The following is a 27831-nucleotide window of genomic DNA, read 5'->3' as shown; positions in this document are numbered from 1 at the left end:
ATCACTGCAAACAAGTAATGCTTCTGATTTTAGCTTGGTACTTTTGCTTCCAACACCCACTTCAAAGCTTATAAATTTATAGAAAACAAAGCCAACCAAAACCAAAATAACAACAACAAAATGATATTCACACAAAAAAAGTCCAAAATAAAGGAAAAAATTAAAATTATCTTATATGTGAATATTAAGCAACATTCACTTCCAACTGGTTTTTCAAAAATAGCTACAATTTTTCAGAGTTGGGAAATAAGTTTGACATAATGTCTGCTCAGAAAATTTTCTCTTTAAAGATTAATTCAAACGCACCAAGAATTTATCTTGATCAGCACAACAGAGGGCAAATATAAACACTAGGTCTGAATTTATTCCATTCACACTAAAGTGACTCCCAGCATCCTCTACTCATTCTAATAAAGTAGAAGCTAGAAGGAGGTTCTTAAATTCCCTCCTTATAAATCGAAACAATTACCTGCCCTATCCTAGAGTATGAGAGTGTATGTAAACCAAAATACCAAGCAAGTTTACAGATATAACTCGCATCTGTGCAGACTGGTTTGCACTAATCTGTAGAGAAAAAATGTATTTAAATTAAACCACCAATAAATAAGCTCTGTAATTTGTCCTCTAGGAGCTTACAATCTAGTAGGGAAAACACAAAGGCAGCCAGCCAACTAAGCAGATATTAAACAGAATTTTTTAAAACTCTACAACAAAGATAAAGTGCTGTGGGGGCACAGGAAAAAAAACTAACTTTTATCTAGATGAATGGAAAAAGGTCTCAAGATAGTGGGATTTAAGGCTGGACACACTGGCTCATGCCTGTAATCCCAACACTTTGGGAGGCAAGGACAGGAGGATTGTTCAACCCCAGGAGACCAGCCTGAGCAACACAGTAAAACACCATCTCTACCAAAACACACACACACACACACACACACACACACACACACACACACGACAGTGGGATTTTTGAGCTGAGTTTTAAATGCAAAGCTGGAGATGAAGAGCAAAAGAGAGTTTGGAGTGTCTCTTATCATTTAAGCTAACAGAACAGCAAGTATAAAAATAGAAATAAAAATGTCTTTGAAAACAGAACTGTGATAGAATGGAGCCAGATCATAAAAGGCATTAACTGATGGAACATTAGGAAGTTTAGACTTGGCCATGCACAGCTGCTCTTGCCTGTAATCCCAACACTTTGGGAGGCCCAGGCGGGAGGATTGTCTGAGGCCAGGAGTTCAAGACAAGTCAGAGCAACATGGTAAAACCCATCACTACAAAAAACACAAAAATTAGCCAGGCATGGTGGCATGCACCTGTAATCCCAGCTACTCGGGAGGCTGAAGCAGGAGGATCCTCTGGGCCCAGGAGTTCGAAGCTGCTGTGAGCCATGATCACATCATCACTGCACTCCAGGGTGGGCAAGTGACCTAGACACTATCCCTAAAAAAAAAAGTTTAGGTTTATTCTAATAATAATTCTAATATAATGGGAGTGACATGAGCTAAACAAAGATATTAAGAAAACTCTCCTGATACAGAATGAACTGAGAAGAATGGATGAAACGAGAAGAATGTTCACAGTAACATGAAGTCTAGCTAATTAACCTGAAATGGTGATAGAAATGGAAAGAAATAAATATTAGCGTTAGCGGAAAAGAAATGTGATAAGGACTGAGTAGATGTAAATGTCAGGTGAAGTTTGGTCAGAGAAGGAGCAAAACACAAGGCCATCACTTTGAGAATGAAAATAATGATTACAGCTTTGGAAATTTAAGACAGTTAACCTAAACTTCCATTCCCTTCTGAGAGTTTCTCCATTTGTTCTAGTATCCTATTTTTTGACACTTTTTAAAAGCATTTTAAGAATTCCATTCACCTAGGGATTTTCATGACTTATTTCTATTAAGTATATATTAAATCAGTGGCATATTTTTTGAGTTTTTTTTTCATTACGGAATATCTTCATTTCATATACTTTTGAACTATAGTTTTCAGGACAAAACACTAAATAATCCATTACAGAGGTACCACATATAACAATAATTTTTCTTATTTATATTTAGAGTCCACCCATCTTTTTCAGATTCTTAGGTTCTTATTATTCCATAATGAATGCTTCTGTGCTTCTTGGTGGAATGGAACTTCCATAGGTTTAGAGAAAGAACAAAACACACATAATAATTTCTTGCACGGATTTTAATCTGACATCAGTAACTTCAGATCAAAATAATTCTGGAAAACCACCACCAATAACTAAGAGTAATTAATGTCTTCAAGAAATGTTTTTAGCCAATCTTTGTAAAGACAAAGTAGGAAAAACATCCACAAGATTTAAACCCAATTGTTCATAAAAACTACAAATAAACACAAATAAGCTGAAAGAATCTTTAGAAGATTCATCTTTTAAAATCTTCAAAATGCTGATAAAATGGCCAAGGAACAGAAACCAACACATAAATACCCAAGCAGAAGCTGATTTTTCACCAAAACAGGTCATTATGTGAGGTGGCCAGCGCCCCTGAATGCCAACTAAATTTCAATAAAGCATATGCTTTAAGTGGTAAGTGGCCCATGTTCTTTAATGAATAGACTGCTGTTAGAATTCTTCATATTGTAACCAAAATCCACCTTCATATTGTAACCAAAATCCATGCTCTTTAATATTAAGAGCATGTACTTTCAAATCAGCCTAGGGTTTGAATCCAAGCTGACCTTGGAACAAATCGCTTAAAACCTTTTAGAGCTCCCGTTTCCCAATCCATCAATGGGAATGTTTCCAACTATCACATGGATTTTGGTGGTCAATATATGTTAAATATTTATCAATGCCTGGCACACAGTAAAACACTACAAACGGTACCCTCCCCTCTTTTCAGCACACCCTCACATTTATTATAGGGCCAGTCAGCAAGATTACGTGACCTTCCACACCCCAACAGTCAAGTAGTAAAGAAAATACGGCAAACAGATTATACAGGGGAAAAAGTAAAGCTAAGAGGGAACTGATGAAAAGAAATGCATGAGCCGAGGACTGAAGATTCAAATGAAGACAAAGAACAAGTTGTGAAGTGGAAATCACTAAAATGAAAAGGATTTATTTATCTGACATCAAAAAAAGCTTCAGGCTGGATGTGGTGGCTCACACCTGTAATCCCTGGACTTTGGGAGGCTGATGCAGCAGGTGGATCATTTGAGCCCAGGAGTTTGACACCAGCCTGGGCAACATGGTGAAACCCTATCTCTATTTTCAGCTTATTTAAAATTGTTTTTCATCTTCATACCACGATTTCAATACTATTTTGAATGTGTATGCATTTCCTTGAAAATATCTACGCTGACAATTCATTAATATGTAAGTTCTGCATAGGCTGGGGAAATATTACACTGTTTCTTACAGCATTACACATGGTCTGTATTAAATATTTTGAATGAAGTTTGTAATACAAAGCCCACATTAATATTTTGTATGTTCAGTAAACTCCAGCATCCCTTCATTTACACCTATTCAACATTTATTAAGAGTGTACTTGTGCCAGATACAGTGCTGAGCACTAGAAATACAATGATGGATAAGACAGCCCAGTTGCCTTCATGGAACTCACAGCAGTCCATTCATTAAAGAACATGGGCCACTTACCACAAGTAATAAATTCTGAAAATAAATAAAACTTTTCCATTAATCTGTACAAGTGAGTTCAATTAACCGTTCCTAAAAAGTAACAATACACTTATTATATTTTAAAATCTTTAGATTTTTCCAATCAACTATTTTAGCTATTAATTCTAGGCCCTATGTTTTAAGCTGGACATTTGACAAACTAGATATAATGTGAAAAATCTGAAAACCGTATGAGTTTTTTAGTCTAGAAGACTCAGAAATCATGACAACTGTCTTTATATTTTAAAGGGTTAGCATACACGTGTGCTCTGTACCATTCCAAAGGGTTAAACTTGGAGCAATGGTTCGAAGGTGGATTTTGGTCACAATATGAAGAATTCTAACAATTTGGGATATTGAATAATTCAACGACCTTAAATATTTCTGTAAGGCTGCATGCTTTAAAAAGATAAATTTTCACTTAATCCTTGAAATAATCCAGAAAAACAAGTGTTTCCCTGTTACAGTTTAGGAAACTGAGTCTTCAAGGATCTTGCTAAAACACTCAAGTCCCAAATCTAGTGAACAGGTTGCCTCTAACTAACGTGCTTCCCACCTCTAGATGTATTTCAGGCACATACCAAATGGCCATCTGTCAGCAATGTTAGCCAAGACACCCTAAAGTTCCTTCCAAATTCAACTCTTTAGAAATACTGGTGGTCAATGTAAACACCATGAAAAGATTATGTGTTGAACGGTCCTCCAGAATGCAAGCTCTATGAGGGCAAGTAACTTTTTCTTTCCTGCTACATCCCAATACCTAAAACAGTATATGGCATACAATACAGGGTCAAAAAATACTTGCTAAATATGAATAGTCCTAGTCATACATACCACGATTATATATTTCATATATGTATATAAAAAATACATACCACTATTATACAATAAAGGATCTCGCTGAAGTATCCAGCAACTAAAAAACCTGATAAGTACAAAATCCATTCTTAAAATTGCATCAAGCACTTTAAATTGTTCAAGTGCTGAAACTTCAACCAACCAGTTTGCAAAACAAATTCAACTGCAAAAACTGCAAACCCTTTGGCAAAGTATTATAGTTAAAAGTAACATACAAAGTCTTACAAGATACAATGGCTAATTTTGATGAATGAGTTTTTCAATTCTTCGCTAAGGTATCAACTAACATTTTAAGTATGCTTCAACACTCTTTAAGAGTGAAGCAATTTATAGAACTTTTTTGGCTTAAAGACAAACTCACGCTCAGATCTCTATAAACATCACACCTTTACATTTATTATGGTGATACTTCAAAAAGGTCTGCTAATTTTGCAGATGCATATTCGTATTATGTTGAGATTCCACATAACCCATACTTAGAGGTACTGTACATCCACTTGCCATTACTGAAACCCAGGAGGAAAAACTGATACAAATGTCATTTTGCAATACTCTACACTATAAGGTCTGGAATGTCCAAACATCTCAAGGAATATAAGAACCCATAAAATACTCGAAAGTTGTTTTTAATGCACTTTGCTTAGTGGATAAGTATATTTTAAGGCACACTTTTTAAAAAGAATATTATATAACAAAAAAGGCAAGAAAGCTACAGAAAAGTTTTACTCCAATTTCATTAAATTAAATTACACCTTTTAAAGATTTCTGGACAAAGATCCTGATATTTAAAGGTCTAGTTATATTGTGTTTTTATCCTTCGGGTATATATCTAAGAAAAAGTCTACTTAGCTTTTAAAGTAAGCAGTTACAGGCTTATAATAGTATAAGAATGTACTCAGCCATTCACTTGGTTACACTAGGTTACACCACCCAGATTTATAATGTTATTAGCAACTGGGTGTCATCACAAACCAACAAAGAAACCACAGTCTTGTCATTTTTTCTACCTTCTATAATTATGACTTTGAAAGATCAGGTAAAAACTATCCCACACAAGAATATCACTAAATAGATACCTTTTTTAACTTCAGTATTCAGAACTATCGGCTTCCACCTAAGCTTTTTTAACATACTAAAAGAATAAACTTTACAGAAAGGCTGCTTCTCCCATTTCTGTAATAATCATAAGAAACATCTGCAATCCACATCTAACTCTGACATCAGTACCTGATTCTTATTCCCCTGTACAATACTAGATCTTAAGTTGCAGTCCATTCCTAAATTCCCAACAATGAAACCTCTTCACAGAACTTTCAAAATTAAGACTTAAACCACCTCTAGGTTTACCCAAATTGTACCAGAAAAGCAAAGAGCAACTGAGAGAAACCTGTTAACACATTAATGCAACAAGTCTGAAACTTTTAATTCTTCCTTAGAAATCTTCCCTGCCACAGCTAGGAGAAAAGTTCCCTTCGCCCAGTTGCTTTGTCCCTTCGACCCCCTAAAAAAGTGTCACGCGCGCGAAAACGCCTATCCTTCCTGGGAGGCTCAGGCGGTGTTGTCTCGTCTCGGTGGTGGACCTGAGTCGTTCTGAGGACCCGGGCACCACTTTCCCTTCCTCCTGGGGATCTGGCCAGCGCAGCCAAGGCACACACAGGCAGAACGGCAGAACTCACCTGAGCACAGGGCTGTAGGGACTGCGAGAGCGGCGCCAGCTGCTGCTGCTGTAGGGACTAGGGGACACGTCGCCGCCCCGCTCGTAGGAGCTGTGGCGGCTGTAGCTGGGGGAGCGGCGGCGACTGTAGGGGCTCGGGGAGCGCGGCAGCCGCCGAGAATAGGGGCTGCTGCCACCTCCTGCCGGGCTGGGGGACTTGCGGCTCCTCAGGCTCTGAGAGGCCCTGTGGGACACCGGGCTGTCGTCCCGGCCTCCCAGTGGGCTGAGGGACCGCCGCCGCCTGTAGGCCTTAGGCTCGGTCTTGTCCTCCCGGTAGGCCTTGGGCGGTTCCTTGTAGGCCGAAGGCGGCTCCTTGGACGACTTAGTCCGGCTGCGGTGGGCCTTCGAGTCCCGGTCCTTGCGGCTGCTACTGCTGCTGGATGTGGCCGAAGCGCTTTTCCGGCGGCCGCCGCTGCTGCTGCTGCTGCCGCTCTTGGCGACCTCGGCCCGTTCCTCGCCGCTGTGGCTGTGGCGGCTGCGGGACTTGGAGGCCTCGCTGCCACCGCGCTGCCCATCCCGCCGCCGGTGCTCGCGGTGGCGCTCCTTGCTGCGGCCACTGCTGCTGCGGCGGTCCCGGCGGGGCCTGCGCTCCGACCCCTCCCCGCGCCGCTGGGTGCCGGAGGAGGAGGCCGGACTCCCGCCGCTGCCCCCCGTTCCCCCGGCAGCCGTCGCCGCCGTTGCCGCGCTGGCCCCCCCCAGCAGCAGCCCCTGCTCGGACTGGGAGCTCACATCCTCGTATTCCACCAGCGGGGTCACACCCCCGCCGCTACTAGCACCGCCACCGCCGTCCTGCTGCGGCTGGGGCAGCGAGAAGACCCGACGCTTCTCCGCCTCCTGCCCGGCGCGGGGCCCGCGACGCCGCTTCTGCCGCCCTCCTGCGCGCCTCTTGCCTCTCGCCAGCCGCTTGACCTCCAGAGGGGGGCCCGGGCTGAAGCAAGAGGAGGAGGCCGCGGCGGCGGCGGCTGCGGCGGCGGCCGTGCCGGGAGCAGCCAGGAAGAGCAGAGGCGGCGGGGGCGGCGGCGGTTGCAGGAGCTGCGGCTGCAGGAGCGGCAACAGCAGCGGCGGCTGCTGAGGGGACAGGAATCGCCTCCGCTTGCGGCGTTCCTCCAACTTCTTCTCCGCCCAGCTCAGGCCCCCGCCTCCCCCCAGCGCCGTGTCCGAGCTGCTCGGCATCGCCTAGAGCCAGCCGCAGAGCGCGGCGCGGGTGCGGCCTCCTCCCGGGTCAGATCCTGGCCATCTCCCCCGCCGGAAACGGGAGCGGCGGCGGAGGGACACCGAGCACCAGAGCCGGCCGGGAAAAGCGCCACGATAATCCGGGTCGGGACTCGGGTCCCTGGGTTCCAGGTCACAGTGGGGTACGCAGCAGCCTCCGGGCCCCAGGGAAGCAGGAATCCGGGCGGCGGAGCTCCCGATTGCGCTCGTCGTCCTATCCTCGGCAGCGAAAACACCAGATGCGCCGGGCGCTGACCTGCGGGGGAGTCCCGAGTCCTCCAAGTGCCCCCGGGGGTGGGGGAGCGGCCTTGGCCGCGCTCTCGGCTCGGGCAGCGCAACGCGGAAGTACCACCTTCGTCGCCGCTTCACTCCATCGCGCCCTGACGTTGGGTGCAAGTTCAGGGGAGGGGAGTGGGCGAGACAACAACACGCCTCCACCGCCTCCTCCTCGGCGTCGACGTCGTCCTCCTGTGGTGGCGGCGACACACCGCAGGCGCCTCGGAAGTGGCCTGGGCCTGACAACAACTCCCGGCCTAGGGCCTCGCGCACTCTGCGGCCCGCGGGGCTGGGCAGCGGGGCGGGGCGAGGCGGGGGCGACCGGGCTGCGGCTCTCGGTTGGGGCAGCGACTGTGCGGGGCTGGGCGGGGGGCTATTTCCGGGGAGATGGGGGCAGGGGCGTTTCTGAGTCTGTGGCGGTAGGTACGGGCCCTGACTTTCTTCTTCTTTCGCCGCCGCCGCCGCCGCCAGCAGAGGTGGCGGAGCTACCCCTTTCCTCCGCTCCCCCCCTCCACGAGGAGGCTCCTGGTGTGCGCGGCCTGCCCCGGCTCGCTCCTCCCCTTCCCTCTCCGCTCCTCGTCAGGAGGAGGGAGAGCAACGGGACTTGCTGGTTGGGCCCTAACCTCCACAACCCCTCCTTCTCGCCTCGCTCTTTCGGCTTTTCCCCTCAGCCCTGACGTACGACCGGGAGCGCGCCCGCAATTCACGCTCAGAGAAAGCCGAAGATGAGAGGTGGCCGGGGCAAGAGAGGCGGGAACAAAGTTACCGCGCACTGGCGTGCTCGCTCCCGCCAGGGGCCGGCAGGCCGCACCGGAAGTGGCATGATGTAGAAACCGCTCGGCTTCCGGCGAGGGTGGGACTCCGTGTGAAGAAGGGTTAAAGAAAGGAGAGGATTCGTGTGCCGCCCACTGCTGTTGCTTGAGACTCTGCCCGTGGTGGCGCGCCTGTCGTGCTTGTTGCTTGCGTCCAGCGCGCAGTGCCGGTTCCGGCTCTGCAGACGCCGCACTGCCTGCCTGTTGAGCGAAAGGTCACAGTGAGAACAAGTGTTTCTGGAGACTGCGAGGGAAATAATGCTGTTGGTGGCCTTCTGGAGTAGGCAGTTACCCCCCGTGTACCTTCAGTCAAGCCCTGGGAGTGGAACAGCTGCGAAAGGAGAGAAAACACCCCGCAAAACAGGGTGGAGATGGCGTTGGTTTAACTTGTCTCACGTACGCCAAAGTTCGAGGCCCCATTTTTTTTTTTTTTTTTTTTGAGACTGAGTTTCGCTCTCGTTGCCCAGGCTGGAGTGCAATGGTGCGATCTCGGCTCACCGCAACTTCCGCGAGGCCCCTTCTTATCCTAAAAAACACACTTGGGAATCACAGCTCAAGCTTCGGTAACACTATTTACTTTAAAATAAAAATTTTTAAAGCTTTAAATCAATACAGGAAATAAGTGGAATGTTAAAAGGAACTACTGAAAATTCCAAATTCTCAGGAGGCTTGAAATAAAAACATCTTGTGCGAATGAGGACTGCCCTCTTAGTACTTCACCCACTTTCACCTTCATATCTAAACCTTTGGGGTTGCCAAACATAGCCATATAGTGACCTCACATCTCATTTCTTGCCTTAGAATTGCCCTTCAGTTACAGACTAAGCACTCGGGATAATTAGATTAAAATGTAAATGGCTTATTGGCTTTTAGAATGGTTGGAAACGCAAGCTAACCCTGTGCAGTGGCACACGCCTGTAGTCCCAGCTACTCCGGAGGCTGAGGCAGGAGGATCTCTGGAGCTCAAGAGTTCGAGGCTGGAGTGAGCCATGACCGTGCCACAGCACCCCAGCCTGGCCAATCAGCAGGGCGAGGCCCTGCCTCTAATAAAAGAAAAAGCTAAGCCGTCTGTTCAATGACTAAATGTAGTAACCCCTTTGAAAATTCATTTGTTCAGATCATCAGTTGGTTTAGTTCTTAAACACTTGGTATCTATCCATCGTTAATACCTTAGTGTAAATTATTTTAATCAGTTTGACATCACAGTATCACAGACTGGCCTGATTTAAGCTAAGATCAGACTTCACTGACCGAGTACAAAGGATGTTGGTTTGCTGAAGGATAAAGGAGGAGGCAAAGGAATAGGTAATCTTAAAGTCAGAGCATTTCCCAGGAGGGCAGGCCTGGGTGGGCAACACCATGGGATGGGCATTGGGAAACTGAATAGAAAAATAGGGGGCAGGGTTCCTAAAACAAATTTCTGGTTGACAGTATTGTTGAGTGAAGGTCCTGTAGCCAGCCTCCTACCAAAGACTGTTTAGCAAGTGGCTTTTTCAGAAACATGTAGGATCAACTTGTTCCATCGTCCTACGTTAGATAGACTGGAATAACAGAACAAAGAGAGCAAATAAGAGGTTTAGCTTGCAGCTCCCCTCGTGTACAACCAGTTCCACTTGAGAATGTCATCTTCTATCATATATTTTCAAAGAAAACTTGATCCATAGTAAATGGATAATTCCCATGTGTAAGTGTATTAAATGGAGAAGAAGGGAAAAAAAGTAAATGGATAGTTCCCAATCCAGGGTGCAAACAAAAAACATGTACTAAAATATTTTTACTGTGGTTCTACCACCCACGTTTCCTCAAAGATTCTACCTTTGGTGGGGGAGGTTGAATGAACATTTTGAGCTCAAGATACCTGCCCACGTGGTTGGAAACACTAATAACTAATAGGATTCAAACTCCAAAAAATGGGAAGGACCTTTGAATTAGAAGCCGTCTGTTTCTATAAGCCTGTCTGCTTGCCTGAATATTAAAGAGATTTGAAATTCCCATTTACGACTATATTTTTGTTTATTACTGCTTGTGTGTGGGGGGGTGGGGAGTTCGTGTTTTGTTTTGTTTTTGTTTTTGTTTTTTTTGAGACAGAGTTTTGCTCTTGTCGCCTAGGCTGGAGTGCAGGGGTGCAATCTTGGCTTACTGCAACCTCCGCCCCCCAGGTTCAAGCGATTCTCCTGCCTCAGCCTCCCGTGTAGCTGGGATTACAGTTGCCCGCCACCATGCCGAGCTAATTTTTTTGTATTTTTAGTAGAAACGGGGTTTTGTCATGTTGAGCAGGCTGGTCTCAAACTCCTGACCTCAGGTGATCCGCCCGCCTCGGCCTCCCAAAGTGCTGGGATGACAGGCGTGAGCCACTGCACCAGGCCCCAGACTCATCTTTTATGCAGTTCAGAGGCCCACAGTGTTAGCACTTTTTTTTCAGAAGTGCAATATTGCTTCTATGTGCTGGGGAGTGGGAATTCTTGCTGGTTCAGTAAAGCTGAGGGATACGTATTTATAAAACAGTAATGGTGGAGTAAACTTCTAGCTGTCTTCCTAAATGGATTTTCCCTTGATTACCTAAGTAACAGTATCCTGGGTTTGATGGGGGTAAATGTGCCTAGCTAAAAACTACATCTCCCAGTATTCCTTGCAGATAAGACGTGATCATTGGCTCCTGCCAATGAAGTGAAGTGGAAGTTGTTGGGCGAAGCTTATGGAAATGATTCTTAAAAAATGGAAGGTCAGGGCCGGGCCCGGTGGCTCACGCCTATAATTCCAGCACTTTGGGAGGTCGAGGCGGGCAGATCACCTGAAGTCGGGAGTTCAAGACCAGCCATGACCAACATGGAGAAACCCCGTCTCTACTAAAAATGCAAAATTAGCCCAGTGTGGTGGCGCATGCCTGTAATCCCAGCTACTCGGGAGGCTGAGGCAGGAGAATCGCTTGAACCCGGGAGGCAGAGGTTGCAGAGGCTGCGGTGAGCCCAGAGTGCACCATTGCACTCCACCCTGGGCAACGAGAGCGAAACTCCATCTCAAAAAAAAAAAGGAAGGTCAGTTTCGCTGACCTGTACCTTCTGCCCCTCACTCTTACTTCTTACTTTTCTCTACATCTGGAACTCAAATGCAATACTGGAGTTTGAGCAGCTGTCCCATGACAACAAAGGAATAAGCACAGGCTAAGGATGGTGAAGTGAAAGGAAAATAGAAAGACGTGACTCCTCGGGGGCATTATGGATCCTTCAAACCAACCCTAGACTAAAAAAGGAATAATTTGTTTAAGCCACTGCTATTTTCAATTATATTACAGCCAAATTAAGTTGCTAAATATTACCATGTGACCCCATGTCCTCATTCCATTCCATGGTAGGTATCATTAATTAATGGCAGCACTCCTTCCTGCTCACCCTAAATGTAGCCTCAGAATCCCTCAGACACGGTGATGCAGTCATCCATTACCAATAGATCAGGGATGGTACTAGCATTAAACTTATTTTTCATGTTGTCCTAAAATAATTTTCGTGATTTTTGGGGAGTTGGTTTTTCCAAAAACTTAAGATTCATGTCCTGGCCCCAAACTACATTTTTTTTTTTCATACGGGGTGTCTCTGTTGCCCAAGCTGGAGTACAGTGGTGTGATCTCAGCTCACTGCAACCTCCACCTCCCAGGTTCAAGCAATTCTTTTGCCTCAGCCACCCAAGTAGCTGGGATTACAGATGTGCGCCATCACGCCTGGCTAATTTTTGTTTTAGAGACGGGGTTTCACCCTGTTGGTCAGGCTGGTCTTGAATTCCTGACCTCAAGTGATCCACCTGCCTCGGCCTCCCAAAGTGCTGGGATTACAGGCGTCAGCCACCGCACCTGGCCAAATATTTTTTATTCTTTAATTTTACAAGAATGTGTAGGTCCTCTTAGGAGATAAATATTCATGAATATTTGGAAGTTCAACTAGATAACAAGAGTATTTCAAGTTACTAATTACATGAACAAATTTGAGAGAAACAAACATGAACAATTCATCTGTGTTTTGTTAAAATTTCTCATAAGTAGAATCATTAGCATCTTAAAATATAATGCTGATGACGATATAGGTCACAGGAAATCTTTTCTACCAGAACTTTTTTTTTTTTTATTTTTGAGACAAAGTCTTGCTCTTGTCCCCCAGGCTGGAGTGCGATGGCATGATCTCGGCTCACTGCAACCTCCGTCTCCCAGCTTCAAGCGATTGTCCTGCCTCAGCTCCCCCGAGTAGCTGGGATTACAGCCGCCTGCCACCACGCCTGACTAGTTTTGGTATTTTTAGTAGAGACAGGGTTTCACCATGTTGACCAGGCTGGTTTCAAACTCCTGACCTCAGGTGATCCACCCGCCTCGGCCTTCCGAAGTGCCGGGATTACAGGTGTGAGCCACCGCGCCCGGCCCATTTCTACCAGAACTTTTTAACTGGCAATATAAGTCTTATTTTGTTTACAGAACATTACAAAAAAAGGATAAAAATCAGCATTTAAGAATTGATTCACTCACATTTATGGTCTGTTGATTTTCAACGAGGTGCCAAGACAATACAATGGGGAAGAATAGACTTTTCTTCAACAAATGATACAGGGACAACTGGATATCCACATGCAAAAGAAAAAAGCTGGATGCCAACCTCATACCATATTAAAAAAAATCGAAATGAGCCAAAAGCACATGTGACAAAAGGAAAAATAGATAAACTGGATTTCATCCAAATTAAAATTCAAGACAGGCAGATTGCTTGAGCCCAGGAGTTGGAGACCAAACTGGATAAATGGCCAAACCCCATCTCTACTAAATACAAAATTTAACCAGGTGTGGTGGCTCACACCTGTAATCCCAGCTACTCTGGAGACTGAGGCAGGAGAATCACTTGAATCCAGGAGGTGGAGGTTGCAGTGAGCCAAGATCCCACCACTGTACTCCAGCCTGGGTGACAGAGTGAGACACTGTCTCAAAAACAACAACAAAGAAAAACTGATCCTGTACTTCACATTTGCCAAGAGGATAGATCTTAAGTGTTATCAGAAAAAGAAAAAAAATTTGGCCGGGCGCAATGGCTCATGCCTGTAATCCCAGCACTTTGAGAGGCAGAGACGGGTGATCAACTGAGGTCAGAAGTTCAAGACCAGCCTGGTGAAACTCTGTCTCTACTACTAATACAAAAATTAGCCAGGTGTGGTGGCACACACCTGTAATCCCAGTTACTCGGGAGGCTGAGGAACAAGAATCACTGGAACTCGGGAGGCGGAGATTGCAGTGAGCAGAGATGGCACCACTGCACTCCAGCCTGGGTGACAGAGCGAGACTCTGTCTCAAAAAAAAAAAAAAAAAAAGTTTAAAGGACCTAAACAGACATTTTTCCAAAGAAGCTATACAAGTGACCAAAAAGCACATGAAAAGATGCTCAGTGTCATTATCCACTAGGGAAATTCGAATCAAAACCACAGGAGAAACCATTTCAAACACCAGAACCAGCCTGGGCAACATGGTAAAACCTCAGCTCTAGAAAAATACAAAAATTAGTTGGGTGTGGTGGTGCACACTTGTAGTCCCAGCTACTTGAGAGGCTGAGGTATGAGAATCGCTTGAACCTGGGAGGCGGAGGTTGCAGTGAGCCAAGATCGTGCCACTGTACTCCAGCCTGGGTGACAGAGCGAGACCCTGTCTCAAATATAGATAAATAAACAAAACAAAATTTAAAAAAAGTATGACTATAATCAATAGACAAGTTTTGTTGAGGATGTGGAGAAATTGGAACTTTCACACACTGCTGGTGGAAGTGTAAAAATGGGGCAGCCACTTTTTAAAAATTTAAATGTTTATTTATTATTGCTTAATAATCAACTTTTGTTGATTAAATATTATGAGAAAATCTTCTCTCAAAATGTCTTTTGTGCTTTTTGTTTTGTTTTATTCATTTATTTATTTTGAGACCGAGTCTCGCTCTATTGCCCAGACTAGAGTGCAGTGGGGCAATCTTGACTCACTGCAACCTCTGCTTCCCAGGTTCAAACGATTCTCCCACCTCAGCCTCCTGAGTAGCTAGGATCACAGGCGTTCCACCAAACCCAGCTAATTTTTGTATTTTTGGTAAGGATGGGGTTTCACCACGTTGGCCAGGCTGGTCTCAAACTCTTGACCTCAAGTGATCCATCCACCTTGGCTTCCCAAAGTGCTGGGATTACAGCTGTGAGCCACCACGCCGGGCTGGATGTAGTCCCTTTGGAAAATAATTTGGCAGTTCCTCTAAATGCTAAACATATAATTACCATATGACCCAGCAATCTCACTCCTAGGCATATCACCCAAAAGGTATGAAAACGTATGTTCGCACAACATTTCATGATAGGTAAAAAAATGGAAACAACCCAAACTTTTATCAACTGATGAACAGATAAGCAAAATGTGGCATATCCATACAATGGAATATTATTCAGCAATAAAAAGGAATGAATTTCTAATACATGCTACAACATGGATGAACCTTGAAGACATTATGCTAAGTGAAAGAAGCCTTAGTTTCTCTCTCATAATCATCACCTGAAGTACAAAATAGATGATATTATTATCATTTAACAGATGAGAAAAGTAAAGATCAAAGAGACTGAGTTGCCTATAGCCACATAAACAATAATGTGAAACAAATTTTAATCTCAAAACATATTCTAAACACAAATAAAACTATTTTTTTAAAGTGTCTGATACAGTTTTGCTGTGTCCCCATTCAAATATCAACTTGAATTCTATCTCCCAGAATTCCCACATGTTATGGGAGGTACCCAGGGGGAGATAATTGAATCATGGGGTCCAGTCTTTCCCATGCTATTCTCTTGATAGTGAATAAGTTTCACAAGATCTAATGGGTATATTACAGATTTCTGTTTCTCCTCTTCTTCATTTGCTCTTGCCACCGCCATGTAAGAAGTGTCTTTTGCCTCCTGCCGTGATTCTGAGGCCTCCCCAGCCATGTGGAACTGTAAGTCCAATTAAACCTTTTTTTCTTCCCAGTCTCAGGCATGTCTTTATCAGCAGCATGAAAACAGACTAATACAGGGTCAAAGTCTTGATCTACAGCTCTTTTCCTTTGTGGTGTCCTCAGTAACCACACAGATGCTTTTCATCTTTCCTTTTCCCTCTCTTTGTTCCTGGCCTTCTTCTTATTGTCCTGAGCATAGCTAAAAATTGCCAGTGGAATTCAAGGGATTTAAAAATTAAAAATCTTAGGTCAGGCACAGTGGCTCACACCTCTAATCTCAGCACTTTGGGAGGTCAATCTCAGCACTTTGGGAGACCAAGGTGGGTGAATCACTTGAGCCCAGGAGTTCGAGACCAGCTTAGGCAACATGGCAAAACCCCTATCTCTACAAAAAAAAAAAAAAAAAAAAAATTACCTGGGCATGTTGGCTCACACCTGTATTCCCAGCTACTCAGGAGGCTGAAGTGGGAGGATCACCTGAGGCCCAGGAGGCAGAGGTTGCAGTGGACTGAGATTGTGCCACTGCACGCCAGCCTGGGTGACAGAGTCAGACCCTATCTCAAAATAAAATAAAATAAAATAAAATCTTAAAAATTAGCTTAATCCCCCCACACTCACTTTTTATGATGTAAACTGAGATTTACACAAATCAAATGTCTTATCCAAGATCCTACTGCTACTTGTAAAAGAAGCCTGGTTTATTTTGCCTTCCATCTAGATCCATGATTTTCAAATTCAGTAGTGGTACTCAAAGATGTTCTAAGGAATAAATAGGTTGGGAAAGTTTTAAGGAAGTGAGTTTTTAGATCCTCAACTTCTATACTTCTAAAATTGATCTAGGCCGGGCACAGTGGCTCACAGCTATAATCCCAACACTTTGAGAGGCAGAGGCGAGAGAATTGCTTGAGGCCAGGAGTTTCAGACCAGCAAGACCTTATCTCTACAAAAAATAAAACAAGTAACATGGCGCGGTGGCACATGCCTGTAGTCCCAGCTACCCAGGAGGCTGATGTGGGAGGATTACTTGAGCTCAGCAGTTCAAGGCTGCAGTAAGCCATGATTGCACCACTGCACTCCAACAGGGTCACAGAGGAAGACCACATATCTAAAATAAAATTAAAATTTTAAATAAATACATAAAATTGATCTGCCGGTGGTCAAGGTGTTTTTGTTTTGTTTTGTTTTGAGACAGAGTCTCTGTCACCCAGCTGGAGTGCAATGGCACAATCTCGGCTCATTGCAACCTCCGCCTCCCGGGTTCAAGCGATTCTCGTGCCTCAGCCTTCTGAGTAGCTAGGATTACAGGCACCCGCCACCACACCTGGCTAATCTTTGTATTTTTAGTAGAGACAGGCTTTCACCATGTTGGTCAGGCTATTCTTGAACTCCTGACCTCAAGTGATCCACCCTCCTCAGCTTCCCAAAGTGCTGGGATTACAGGCATGAGCCACCGTGCCCGGCCTCAAGGTGTCTTGCTGGGTCTCTTTCCCTCACTTTACCAAAAAAAGACATATTTTCTTTCTTTCTTTTTTTTTTTTGTTCTTTTGAGAGAGGGGTCTTGCTTTGTCACCCAGGCTGCAGTGCAGTGGCATGATCATGGATCACTGTAGCCTCAATCTCCCAAGGCTCAGGTGATCTCCTGCCTCAGCCCCAAGAAGCTGAAACTACAGGTGTGTGCCATGCTACCTGGCTAATTTTTGCATTTTTAGTAGAGACAGGGGTTTTGTTGCCCAGGCTGGTTTCAAACTCCTCCTGGACTCGAACTCCTGGGCTCAAGAATCCACCCACCTAAGCCTCCCAAAATGCTGGGATTACAGGCATGAGCCACTTGCAGCTGATGCCACTTTCACTCATTCTCTAATCATAATGGTGCATTGCCCAAAGGTGTAAGAACAAAGACAAACAAAGCAAGCCACAATTCAAAGCATTGATATGAGGAAGCCTTTTTTAATCAAGGCAATCTGTCTCATTGTAGCAGTAAGTACTAATCTTCTATGGACATATGAGCTAATGGTGCATGGCACGTTAACTAATGTTTAAAAATTATTTATCAAATTATAAAATATATTTGCTGGTTTTTTTTTTTTTTTTGAGACGGAGTTTCACTCTTATTGCCCAGGCTGGAGGGCAATGGCACGACCTCAGCTCACCACAACATCCGCCTCCTGGGTTCAAGTGATTCTCCTGCCTCGGCCTCCCGAGTAGCTGGGATTACAGGCATGTGCCACCATGCTCGGCTAATTTTGTATTTTTAGTAGAGACGGGGTTTCTCCATGTTGATTAGGCTGGTCTCGAACTCCCAACCTCAGGCAATCCGCCCACCTATTTGCTGTTTTAATCAATATTAGTGATAATTAAAATTAAGGCTTAATCTAGAATAAAAAATTTTTTCTTGCTGGGTGCGGTGGCTCACACCTGTAATGCCAGCACTTTGGGAGGCCGAAGCAGGCAGATCACGAGGTCAGGAGATCGAGACCATTCTGGCTAACACAGTGAAACCCCGTCTCTACTAAAAATACAAAAAAAAATCAGCCAGGCGTGGTGGCGGGCACCTGCAGTCCCAGCTACTCAGGAGGCTGAGGCAGGAGAATGGCGTGAACCCGGGAGGCGGAGTTTGCAGTGAGGCGAGACTCTGTCTCAAAAAAAAAAAAAAAAAAAATTTCTCCAGCCATAGAAAATAGGGAAAAGAAAAAAAATTTTTTTAATGCATAAGTTTCAATTTAATACACATTTTTATAGCAGGATGTATGATAGGGTAATCAGTAAAAGAGTTGGAAGCCAAAAAGTAATTAACATATTATATTATGGTAAAATTATGTAAGGGAAGTAGAATGGAAATAAGAAGTCAAAGAAAAAGAGGAACAATGTAAAATTCTACTTACTAAAGATGATGCATTATTTCTAAAAGAATGATAGTGGATATCAAATTGCTAGAGCTTGAATCTTTTCCATACATAAACGCAAGTGATTTAGTTTTACTTATACAATGACAGAAAATTGTATCATTTGTAACTATTTAAATTTATAATAAAAAAATCTTAAATGTCAACTTAAAATGTACAAAAATACAGGCTTCCAAGATTATTTTAGGAAATACAAGAAAAAAATCTGAAGGCCACTCTCGTAGGTAGTCCTCTGTGAAACATTGGTAAATCATAGTAAATCCATTTCCATTATAGAAAAAATTCTCAATAAACGTGTCTACTAATTTTTTTTTTTTGAGACAGAGTCTCTCTCTTGTTGCTCAGGCTGGCATGTGCCCAGGTGGCACGATTTTGGCTCACTGCAACCTCCGCTTCCCGGGTTCAGGCGATTCTCCTGCCTCAGCCTCCTGAGTAGCTGGGATTACAGGCCTGCACCATCACGTCTGGCTGATTTTTGTATTTTTAGTAGAGACGGGGTTTCACCATATTGGCCAGGCTGATCTTGAACTCCTGACCTCAAGTGATCTGCCTGCCTCAGCCTCCCAAAGTGATGGGATTACAGATGTGAGCCACTGTGCCTGGCTTGCTATTTATTTATTTATTTATTTATTTATTTATTTATTTAGAGACAAGAGTCTGTTCTGTTGCCCAGGCTGGAGTGCAGTGGCGCAATCTCGGCTCACTGCAACCTCTGCTTCCCGGGTTTAAGCGATTCTCCTGCCTCAGCCTCCCAAGTAGCTGGGATTACAGGCATGCGCCTTCATGCCCAGCTAATTTTTGTATTTTCAGTAGAGACATGGTTTCCCTGTGTTGGCCAGGTTAGTCTCGAACTCCTGACCTCAGGTGATCTGCCAGCCTCAACCTCCCAAAGTGCTGGGATTACAGGTGTGAACCACTGTACCTGACCTGTCTGCTAATTTTTAACCCAGTATTATCATTTTCACACATAAAGGAAAGCACATTATCATTGTTCTTAAAAAATAAAATCAATGATTTTGGCTGGGCGTGGTGGCTCACACCTGTAATCCCAGCACTTTGGGAGGCTGCAACGGGAGGATTCATTGAACCCAGGAGTTTGAGAGCAACCTGGACAACATAGAGAGATCCTGTCTCTGTAAAAAACAAGATAAAATTTTTAGAAAAATCAATAGGACAGACACAGTGGCTCATGCCTATAATCCCAGCACTTTGGGAGGCCGAAGCAAGTGGATCTCTTGAGGTCAGGAGTTCGAGACCAGCCTGGCCAACATGGTGAAACCCCATCTCTACTAAAAATACAAAAAAAATTAGCTGGGCATAGTGGTGTGCACCTGTGATCCCAGCTCCTCGGGAGGCTGAGGCAGCAGAATCACTTGAACGCAGGAGGCAGAGGTTGCAGTGAGCCAAGATGGTGCCACTGCACTCCAGCCTGGGCAATAGAGTGAGACTCCATCTAAGAAAAAAAAAAAAAATTAATGACTTTGAAGTCATGACAGATCAGAGATTTTTGCTCCCACTCCTGAATTTCAAATCTTTTCTTACACAATTTCCCCAGGCCCCCAGGTACCAGATAGCTGCCTACTAAGGCTCCTGCTTGAAGGCCTTCATTGCTTCTAACTGCTTATAGGAAAAAGTGCTAACAAACTTATGTGACTCACAATACTTGGCATAATCTGAGTCCCACTTATCGCTCCAGATTCAAGTCTCTACCTGCCTATATTTACTCTGTACTTCAGAAATACAGAACTTCTTTCTCATTTTTGAAAGGTACTGCATTTCTCAACTCTGGGCCATCACATGGCATTTTCCCTCTATTTGGAATTCTCACTCCCACCTCCTACCTCACAGCTAGGTGTCATTTTTATATATTTTCAAATCTTAATTTAGATATTACTTGAAGCTTTATCTGACACACACACCCCCCGTCACTATCATCATTAAGGCTGGAATAAATGCTCCTTCTTTGTGTTTCTGGTGAATAGCATCCTTCTCCATCATGCCTGTATTTCAATCATGTCCTTCCTTGTCTGTATCTTCCAATAGACTGTGGGTTCCAAGACAGTAGAAATAGTGTCTATTACTCACCATCATATTCTTAGTCACCATCATATTCTACTTAATCACCATCATATTCTTAAGTTCTACCATAATATACAGTAGGTGTTTAATGAATATTAGGAGAATTAATGAATGGATTGATTTTAATTATCAAAGTATTTCCATGAAATACTTTTATGGAAAGTAAATGGCTACTCTAAACAATCTTAAGGATGAAAATGAATTTATTGGAAGGGTATTATCAAGGGCTAACAAACTGACAGGAATCTATAATACTAGGCTTGAAAAATGGATAGAGACCCAGGTGGTTCCAGACAGCCAAGAAGCTACAAGACTTTAGCAATAGCCTGGGAAGGACACAGCCACCTTCATTGTAGGACACTTTTAGGATTAATCCTCAGTGCCCTTGGAGATAATCTCCCTACTGCTGTGAATTAAATGTCATCTCTCCTTTGTCTTTGTGTTACTTGGTCAAGAATCAACGTTCTGGAAAAACGATCATTGGCTAAGCCTAGATCACATGCCCGTGCACAGGCTGCTGGAGGTGGGGAGCCTCAGGATATGTCCTCTAATGCCTCCAGAGTGGGAACAAGGGGATTATCAAGACAGTGGGGAATTCTCTTACATAGGAAGGAAGGGTTGGACTTAGTGCAGCTAAGAAGGTACAGCTGTTAGTTACAGCTGTCTAGAACTAAAGCAAAATATGTGTCCCCACACAGAAGCAGTTTGTTTTGGTGCCATGTGTATATATGCAGGGCTTCTAGAATGGCTCAAAAAGTAGTAAAAAACACAGTGTAATGGTTTTGGAGATGCTTTTTCTTTTTTTTTTTTTTTTTTGAGATGGAGTCTTGCTCTGTTGCCCAGGCTGGAGTGCAGTGGCACAATCTCGGCTCACTGCAAGCTCTGCCTCCTGGGTTCACACCATTCTCCTGCCTCAGCCTCCCGAGTAGCTGGGACTGCAGATGCCCGCCACCACGCCCAGCTAATTTTTTGTATTTTTAGTAGAGACGGGGTTTCACCGTGTTAGCCAGGATGGTATCAATCTCCTGACCTTGTGATCCGCCCACCTCGGCCTCCCAAAGTGCTGGGATTACAGGCGTGAGCCACCGCGCCCGGCCCAGAGATGCTCTTAACGAAGCATAATTTTCATTCTGTCATCAAAAGGAACACTCAGTAATTCAGATATAGTGATAAATGTCTATATTTAACTTAATGAAGTGTTCAGTTAAAGATAGAGAAATTACAAAATAGACTTTAAAGTATTAACTGAAAAGAGGCTAAGATACTTTGGGTTGCATTATGGAAAAGTTATTTAGTGCTCCAATCTCAATTATAGCACACCATTTCATCTTTGTGTGGAAATGGCCAAGAGCCTAGAAACTCAAGGGACTTTGAGAATCACTCAACAAATGTTTAAATGTTTGTATTAATTTTGAGGAAACTTTCTTGTAATCAATATTTGATGAGAATCTAATAAGAATTCAGGCTTCTAAAAACAAGATTAAGGGTTTTTCTCAGGTATGGAAGAAATGAACCATATAAGAAAAAAAAATACCCAGTGTAAACCTGAAGAACCAGGAATGAAAAAGAAGTATTTATCCACATAAAACCTTGAATGTAAATGTTTATAGCAGCTTTATTCATAAGTGCCGACATTTGGAAGCAACCAAGATGTCCTTCAGAAAAGTGATAAACTGTGGCACATCCATGCAGTGAAATATTATTCAGTGATAAAAAGAATTGAGTTATCAAGCCACAAAAAGATATGGAGGGCAGGGCACTGTGGCTCACGCCTATAATCTCAGCACTTTGGGAGGATGAGGCGGGCGGATCACTTGAGGTCAGGAGGTCAAGATCAGCCTGGCTAACATGGTGAAACCCTGTCTCTACTAAAAACACAGGAGAAAAAAAGAAGATGGAGGAACCTCATGTGCATATTGCTAAGTAAAAGAAGCCAGTTTGAAAAGTCTACATACTGTGTGATTCCAATGATATGACATTCTGGAAAAGGCAAAACCATGGAGGCAGTAAAAAGATCAGAGATTGCAGAGGTTCAGGGAGGAAGGAAGGAAGGATGGATGGGTAGAGAAAGAGATATGTTTAAGGAAGCAAAACTGTTCTATATGATACTATGAAGATGAACACCTGTTACCATACCACTGCCAACACCCATAGAATGTAAGACACAAAGAATGACCCCTAATGTAAACTATGGGCTTTAGTTAGTAACTATGTATCAATATTGGCTCATCAATTGTACCAAATGCAGCACACTCATGCAAGATAGCTATAGGAGAAACTGGGAGTGGGGTAGGGAGGGGACATGGGAATGCAACACTTCCCACTTATTTTTCTTTAAAACTAAAACTGCTTTTAAAAGTCTGTTAATTTAAAATAGAGTATATACAAATGTAATTTTATCTTATTTATTTTATTTTATTTTATTTTTTTGAGACAGACTCTCACTCTGTCACCCAGGCTGGAGTGCAATGGCGCGATCTCGGCTCACTGCAACATCTGCCTCCCAGGTTCAAGCAATTCTCCTGCCTCAGCCTCCTGAGTAGCTGGGATTACAGGCACGCACCACCACACCTGGCTAATTTTTGTATTTTTGGTAGAGATGGGGTTTTGCCATGTTGGCCAGGCTGGTCTCGAACTCCTGACCTCAGGTGATCTGCCTGCCTTGGCCTCCCAAAGTACTGGGATTATAGGTGTGAGCCACTGCGCCCAGCCTACAAATGTAATTTTAAAATACTATAAACTTCTTGGTTATGTTTATAATATATAGTATCTGTGATTGGTATTTTCTTCACAAGCGGCAGATGAAAGACTTGCTGCGGAATAAAAATGAAGTAGATGAATATAGACACACAAGTAAGTATTTACTGACTGTATTTGCCAGCCTCTCAGATAGCCTCCAATGGTCCTTGTCCCCTTTTTGTTGTTCTTTTAAGCCCCTAAAGTCTGAAGCATTTGTTACACTGCAGTAGATAACTGATAACTAATATACTGCTTTTTAGTTAGGATTAAGTCAGTGAATGCATATCAATAAATAAAAACCTTGAGAACAAATTAACAACTTTGGATTTGCAGGAATTTAGAGAGGTTCTGGACTTGGATATTGAAAGTATTACAGAAAGAAAGAGGGAGAAGTGAGGCCGAAACAGAATGGTTTAAAGGTGGACAGGGAACAGACTGACTCTGACCTGAGCCCTGAAGCACAGAATAGTTTGCAGCCAGGGTGGATGGTGGTGAAGGTTGAAAAGGGCAGGTGTCTCAATCATTCAGGCTGCTATGACAAAATGCCATAGACTGGATGGCTTATAAACCACAGAAATGTATTTCTTACAATTCTGGAGCCTGGAAAGTCCAAGATCAAGACACCAGCAGATGCAGTGTCTGGTGAGGGCCTGCATTCATTCATAGACATTGTCTTCTCATTGTGTCTTCACATGGCAAAAGAGGCAAAAGAGGTCTCTGGGGTCTCTTTTATAAGAACATTAATCCCATTCATGAGGGGTCAACTCTCATGACCTAATCACCTCCCAAAAGCCAGACACAACCACACTGGGGATTAGGTTTCAACATATAAATTTCAGAAGGACACAAATACTTAGTCTATACGAGCAGGAGAATTCCTCTCAAAAGAACTGCATAGAGAGAACTAGGGATACCAGGGAAGAGTTGGAATAACAGAGAAAATCTCTCCGTTCTGATATGTGGGAAGCTTCCAGCATAAAAGCCAGTCCTTGACCTGTATTCTCAAGGGATACTTGTCATTGAGAATCTCATCTTTTGTGCACAAATCAGTCTTGATGTTGTCTTCTTTTTTAAAAAAGTCAACTTTATAGATGCATAGTTTATGCATAATATATTGGCAAATATATATAGCATATAATTACCACACAATCAAAGTAAAGAATATTTCATTTACAAAAATAAAAATAAAAAGTTGGCTCCAGCCTCTCTGCCATCAATGCCCACCACCACCACCCTGCCCAGGCAACTAACTGTAGATCTGTTTTCATATTCTAGAGTTTCTTATAAACTGAATCACAGAGTATGTGGTTCCAGTTTCTTTTGCTCAGCATAATGTTTTTCAGATTCCTCGTGTCATAGCTCGTATCAGTTCATTGCTCTTTATTGCTGAGCAGTACCTCACAGTATACAGTGGATATACAGTACCGCAATTTGCTTATCTATTCACCTGTGATTGAACATTTGAGTTTTTTCTAGGTTGGGGCTATCAGTTCACGTCAGCCATGAACATTCGTGTATCACCATTATAGCATCAAACAGAATAATTTCAGTGCCCTAAAAAAATCCCATTTCCCATATTTAACCCTTTTCGTTTTTATTATATCTAATAAAAATACCTTTCCAAACTAAAGACAAAATAAAAACTTTTTCATACAAACAAAAGCTGAGCAAATTTGTCTCCAGAAGACCTGCACTACAAGAAATATAAAGAATATTTTTCAGGCTGAAGGAAATGACTGCAGAAAACCTTAGATTTATACAAAGAAATAATAAACTTCAGAACTGATAAATATACAGGTAATATAAAAGCCTTTTTTTATTTTTTTTTCTCTTTTGAAACGAGTCTCACTCTGTCGCCCAGGCTGGAGTGCAGTGGTGCAACCTGGGCTCACTGCAACCTCCACCTCCCAGGTTCAAGAAATTTTCCTGCCTCAGCCTTCCGGGTAGCTGGGACTACAGGTGCCTGCCACCAGGCCCAGCTAATTTTTGTATTTTTAGTAGAAACAGGGTTTTGCCATGATGGCCAGGCTGGTCTCGAGCTCCTGACCTCAGGTGATCCACCTGCCTCAGCCTCCCAAAGTCCTGGGATTGCAGGAGTAAGCCACCGCACCCAGCCTATTTCTTTCAATGTAGACAATTTCTACTGCTGTGTCTTCAAGTTCACTGATCTCTTCATTTGCAGTATCTGAACTGTTATTAAGCTCATCCAGTGAAATTTTCTTTCTTTTTTTAAAAATTAATTTATGTACACACAAAAGCCGACCAGTGAAGTTTTCATTTCACATATCGTATTGTTTACCTCTAGAGGTTCCATCTGATTCTTTTAAAAAATCTTTCATTTCATTATTTTTATTATTATTATTAGAGATAGGGCCTCACTCTGGCACCCAGGCTAGAGTGCAGTGGCATGATCATAGCTTACTGCAGTTCAAACTCTTGGGCTCAAGTGATCCTCCTGCCTTAGCCTACTGAGTAGCTAAGACTACAGGCATGTGCCACCATGCCTGGCTGATTTTTAAATTTTTTTTGTAGAGCGGGGTCTGACCCAGGCTATTCTTGGATTCCTGGCCTCAAGCAATCCCCCTGCCTCAGCCTTACAAAGCACTGGGTTTACAGGTGTGAGCCACCACACCCAGTCTCATTATTATTTTTATGTTTTCCTTTAAAACGTTAAACATACTTATAATAGCTATTTTAAAGTCTTTGTTAATTCTATTAATATTATGTTTATCATTTCTGAGTATTTTTCTATTGGCTAATTTTTCCCCTCATTAGGGGTCATATTTTCATCTTGTTAGCAAATTTTCACTAGATGTTGAACATTGTGAATATTATAGTGTGGAGTATTTGGATTTTGTTGTCTTCTTTTAATGAATGTTGAATTTGTTTGGCGGGTAATTTAGTTACTTGGATATCAGCTTGATCATTTCAAGACCTACTTTCAAACTTTGTTAAGGCAAATCTAAAGTAGTTTTAATTCTAAGACATATTTAGCTCTACCACTAAGACATAACAATTGTTGGTTCTGTGCTGAATGCCCAGGTTTTTGTTTTTTGTTTGTTTGTTTTTTTTTGAGACGGAGTCTCACTCTGTCACCCAGGCTAGAATGCAGTGGCACAATCTTGGCTCATTGCAACCTCCACCTCCTGGGTTTAAGGGATTCTTCTGCCTCAGCCTCCTGAGTAGCTGGGATTACAGGCATGCGCCACCATGCCCGGCTAATTTTTGTATTTTTAGTAAAGATGGGGTTTCACCATGTTGGCCAGGCTGGTCTTCGAACTCCTGACCTCAGGTGATCCGCCCGCCTGGGCCTCCTAAAGTGCTAGGATTACAGGCGTGCCACTGTGCCCGGCCTGAAAGCCCAGGTTTTTCTGAAGTTCTTTTCACTCTGGCAAGGAGATCAAACGTCTCTTAGCCCTGTGTGACCTCTAGGACTTGTTTAGCTTAGAGCTCCCAGACTTTGTTCTCCGCTCAGCCTTGTGTCATTTCACCTCACATAGTACACATTAGATTCTGCCAAATAATGAAGGTGATGCAAACTTTTGGATCTCTTTCTCTGCATATCTCCCTCTTTGGAACTCTGCCCCACAAATTCCAGCCACCTCAGCTTCCCCAAGTTGTTTTTTTTTAAATGTCTAGAGCAGGTAAAATATACCATGTTTTTATCTCTACTTCATTAACTCAGTGAGATCTCTCAGTGATGTTTGTGCTTCTTTTCTCTGTGCCATAGCCAGGAATTGCCTTTAGGAAGGAAGCCGCAACAATCAAAAGACACACCTTATTGATTTCCTTTCTTTCAGTGGCTAAAAATAAATGGTTTAGGGCTGGGGGTGGTGGCTCACACCTGTAATCCCAGCACTTTGGGAGGCGGAGGCAGGAGGATCGCTTAAGTTCAGGAATTTGACACCAGCCTGGGCAACAAAGTGAGATTCTGTCTCTACCAAAATAAAATAAATAAATAAATAAATAAATAAATAAAAATAAATTAGCTGGGTGTGGTGGTCTGTGCCTGTAGTCCCAACTACTCAGAAAGCTGAGGCAGGAGGATCCCCTGAGCCTAGGAGTTCAAGGTTGCAGTGAGCTATGATCACCCTACTGCACTCCAGCCTGGGTGACAGAGTGAGACCTTGTCTAAAAAGACAAAGAAAGAAAGAAACCCAGGCGTGGTGGGTCACACCTGTAATCCTAACACTTTGGGAGGCTGAGGCAGGTGGATCACTTGAGGCCAAGAGTTTGAGACCAGCCTGGCCAACATGGTGAAACTCCATCTCTACTAAAAATACAAAAAAAAAAAAAAAAGAAAGAAAAAAATTAGCCAGGTGTGGTGATGTGTGCCTGTAATCCCAGCTGCTTGGGAGGCTGAGACATGAGAATCGCTTGAACCTGGGAGGTGGAGGTTGCAGCAAGCTGAGATCGCACCACTGCTCTCCAGCCTGGGTGACAGAGCAATACTCTGTCTCAAAAAAAAAAAAGAAAGAGCTTAAAACACTGATTTCACACATTTTGTTTTCTGTATTCTATGGCAGCACAGTAAGCTCCATACTGACACCACTCCATAAGTGGAAGCAGAATTCTACTGACTCAGTCTTAAATATGAA

At 43.3% G+C, this 27831-nt stretch overlaps 1 protein-coding gene and 1 long non-coding RNA gene across 6 annotated transcripts in view, besides 12 other annotated features; one reads left to right on the top strand and one right to left on the bottom strand.

The window, feature by feature from the left end:
• Positions 1-7791, bottom strand: part of CDK13 (cyclin dependent kinase 13) — a 149325-nt gene extending 141534 nt beyond the window's left edge. For 4 of the 5 annotated variants that reach the window (XM_017012750.3, XM_017012751.3, NM_003718.5 and 1 more), the window contains exon 1: positions 6195-7791. In XM_017012750.3, the coding sequence (XP_016868239.1) occupies positions 6195-7405 (1211 nt within the window). In that variant the 5' untranslated portion in view covers positions 7406-7791. The remainder of the gene's footprint in view (positions 1-6194) is intronic. The other variant, NM_031267.3, reaches the window with a different exon arrangement.
• Positions 5665-6583: an enhancer, noted in NCBI's record as "H3K27ac hESC enhancer chr7:39991063-39991981 (GRCh37/hg19 assembly coordinates)". NCBI's record gives its function as "activates a minimal SCP1, AML or CMV promoter by ChIP-STARR-seq in primed H9 embryonic stem cells {active_cell/tissue: H9 hESC(primed)}" and the evidence as "EXISTENCE:reporter gene assay evidence [ECO:0000049][PMID:30033119]".
• Positions 6794-6853: a silencer, noted in NCBI's record as "silent region_18116". NCBI's record gives its function as "represses an Ori minimal core promoter by ATAC-STARR-seq in GM12878 lymphoblastoid cells {active_cell/tissue: GM12878}" and the evidence as "EXISTENCE:reporter gene assay evidence [ECO:0000049][PMID:35858748]".
• Positions 6924-7213: a silencer, noted in NCBI's record as "silent region_18115". NCBI's record gives its function as "represses an Ori minimal core promoter by ATAC-STARR-seq in GM12878 lymphoblastoid cells {active_cell/tissue: GM12878}" and the evidence as "EXISTENCE:reporter gene assay evidence [ECO:0000049][PMID:35858748]".
• Positions 7504-8422: an enhancer, noted in NCBI's record as "H3K27ac hESC enhancer chr7:39989224-39990142 (GRCh37/hg19 assembly coordinates)". NCBI's record gives its function as "activates a minimal SCP1, AML or CMV promoter by ChIP-STARR-seq in primed H9 embryonic stem cells {active_cell/tissue: H9 hESC(primed)}" and the evidence as "EXISTENCE:reporter gene assay evidence [ECO:0000049][PMID:30033119]".
• Positions 7724-8003: an enhancer, noted in NCBI's record as "active region_25888". NCBI's record gives its function as "activates an Ori minimal core promoter by ATAC-STARR-seq in GM12878 lymphoblastoid cells {active_cell/tissue: GM12878}" and the evidence as "EXISTENCE:reporter gene assay evidence [ECO:0000049][PMID:35858748]".
• Positions 8004-8233: a silencer, noted in NCBI's record as "silent region_18114". NCBI's record gives its function as "represses an Ori minimal core promoter by ATAC-STARR-seq in GM12878 lymphoblastoid cells {active_cell/tissue: GM12878}" and the evidence as "EXISTENCE:reporter gene assay evidence [ECO:0000049][PMID:35858748]".
• Positions 8423-9342: an enhancer, noted in NCBI's record as "H3K27ac hESC enhancer chr7:39988304-39989223 (GRCh37/hg19 assembly coordinates)". NCBI's record gives its function as "activates a minimal SCP1, AML or CMV promoter by ChIP-STARR-seq in naive H9 embryonic stem cells {active_cell/tissue: H9 hESC(naive)}" and the evidence as "EXISTENCE:reporter gene assay evidence [ECO:0000049][PMID:30033119]".
• Positions 8474-8723: an enhancer, noted in NCBI's record as "active region_25887". NCBI's record gives its function as "activates an Ori minimal core promoter by ATAC-STARR-seq in GM12878 lymphoblastoid cells {active_cell/tissue: GM12878}" and the evidence as "EXISTENCE:reporter gene assay evidence [ECO:0000049][PMID:35858748]".
• Positions 8628-10526, top strand: CDK13-DT (CDK13 divergent transcript). Its single transcript, NR_158201.1, has one exon. It is a non-coding gene; the product is annotated as a CDK13 divergent transcript (long non-coding RNA).
• Positions 8794-8923: an enhancer, noted in NCBI's record as "active region_25886". NCBI's record gives its function as "activates an Ori minimal core promoter by ATAC-STARR-seq in GM12878 lymphoblastoid cells {active_cell/tissue: GM12878}" and the evidence as "EXISTENCE:reporter gene assay evidence [ECO:0000049][PMID:35858748]".
• Positions 9184-9233: an enhancer, noted in NCBI's record as "active region_25885". NCBI's record gives its function as "activates an Ori minimal core promoter by ATAC-STARR-seq in GM12878 lymphoblastoid cells {active_cell/tissue: GM12878}" and the evidence as "EXISTENCE:reporter gene assay evidence [ECO:0000049][PMID:35858748]".
• Positions 9364-9553: an enhancer, noted in NCBI's record as "active region_25884". NCBI's record gives its function as "activates an Ori minimal core promoter by ATAC-STARR-seq in GM12878 lymphoblastoid cells {active_cell/tissue: GM12878}" and the evidence as "EXISTENCE:reporter gene assay evidence [ECO:0000049][PMID:35858748]".
• Positions 11003-11297: an enhancer, noted in NCBI's record as "tiled region #5390; HepG2 Activating non-DNase unmatched - State 24:Quies, and K562 Activating DNase matched - State 10:DNaseD". NCBI's record gives its function as "activates a minimal TATA promoter and a strong SV40 promoter by Sharpr-MPRA in HepG2 and K562 cells {active_cell/tissue: HepG2 | K562}" and the evidence as "EXISTENCE:reporter gene assay evidence [ECO:0000049][PMID:27701403]".

Source organism: Homo sapiens, chromosome 7 (genome assembly GCF_000001405.40).
Source record: "Homo sapiens chromosome 7, GRCh38.p14 Primary Assembly".
Lineage (NCBI taxonomy): Eukaryota > Metazoa > Chordata > Mammalia > Primates > Hominidae > Homo > Homo sapiens.
Note: the sequence above shows the minus strand (reverse complement) of the source record. Positions and strands in the feature narration are given on the sequence as shown.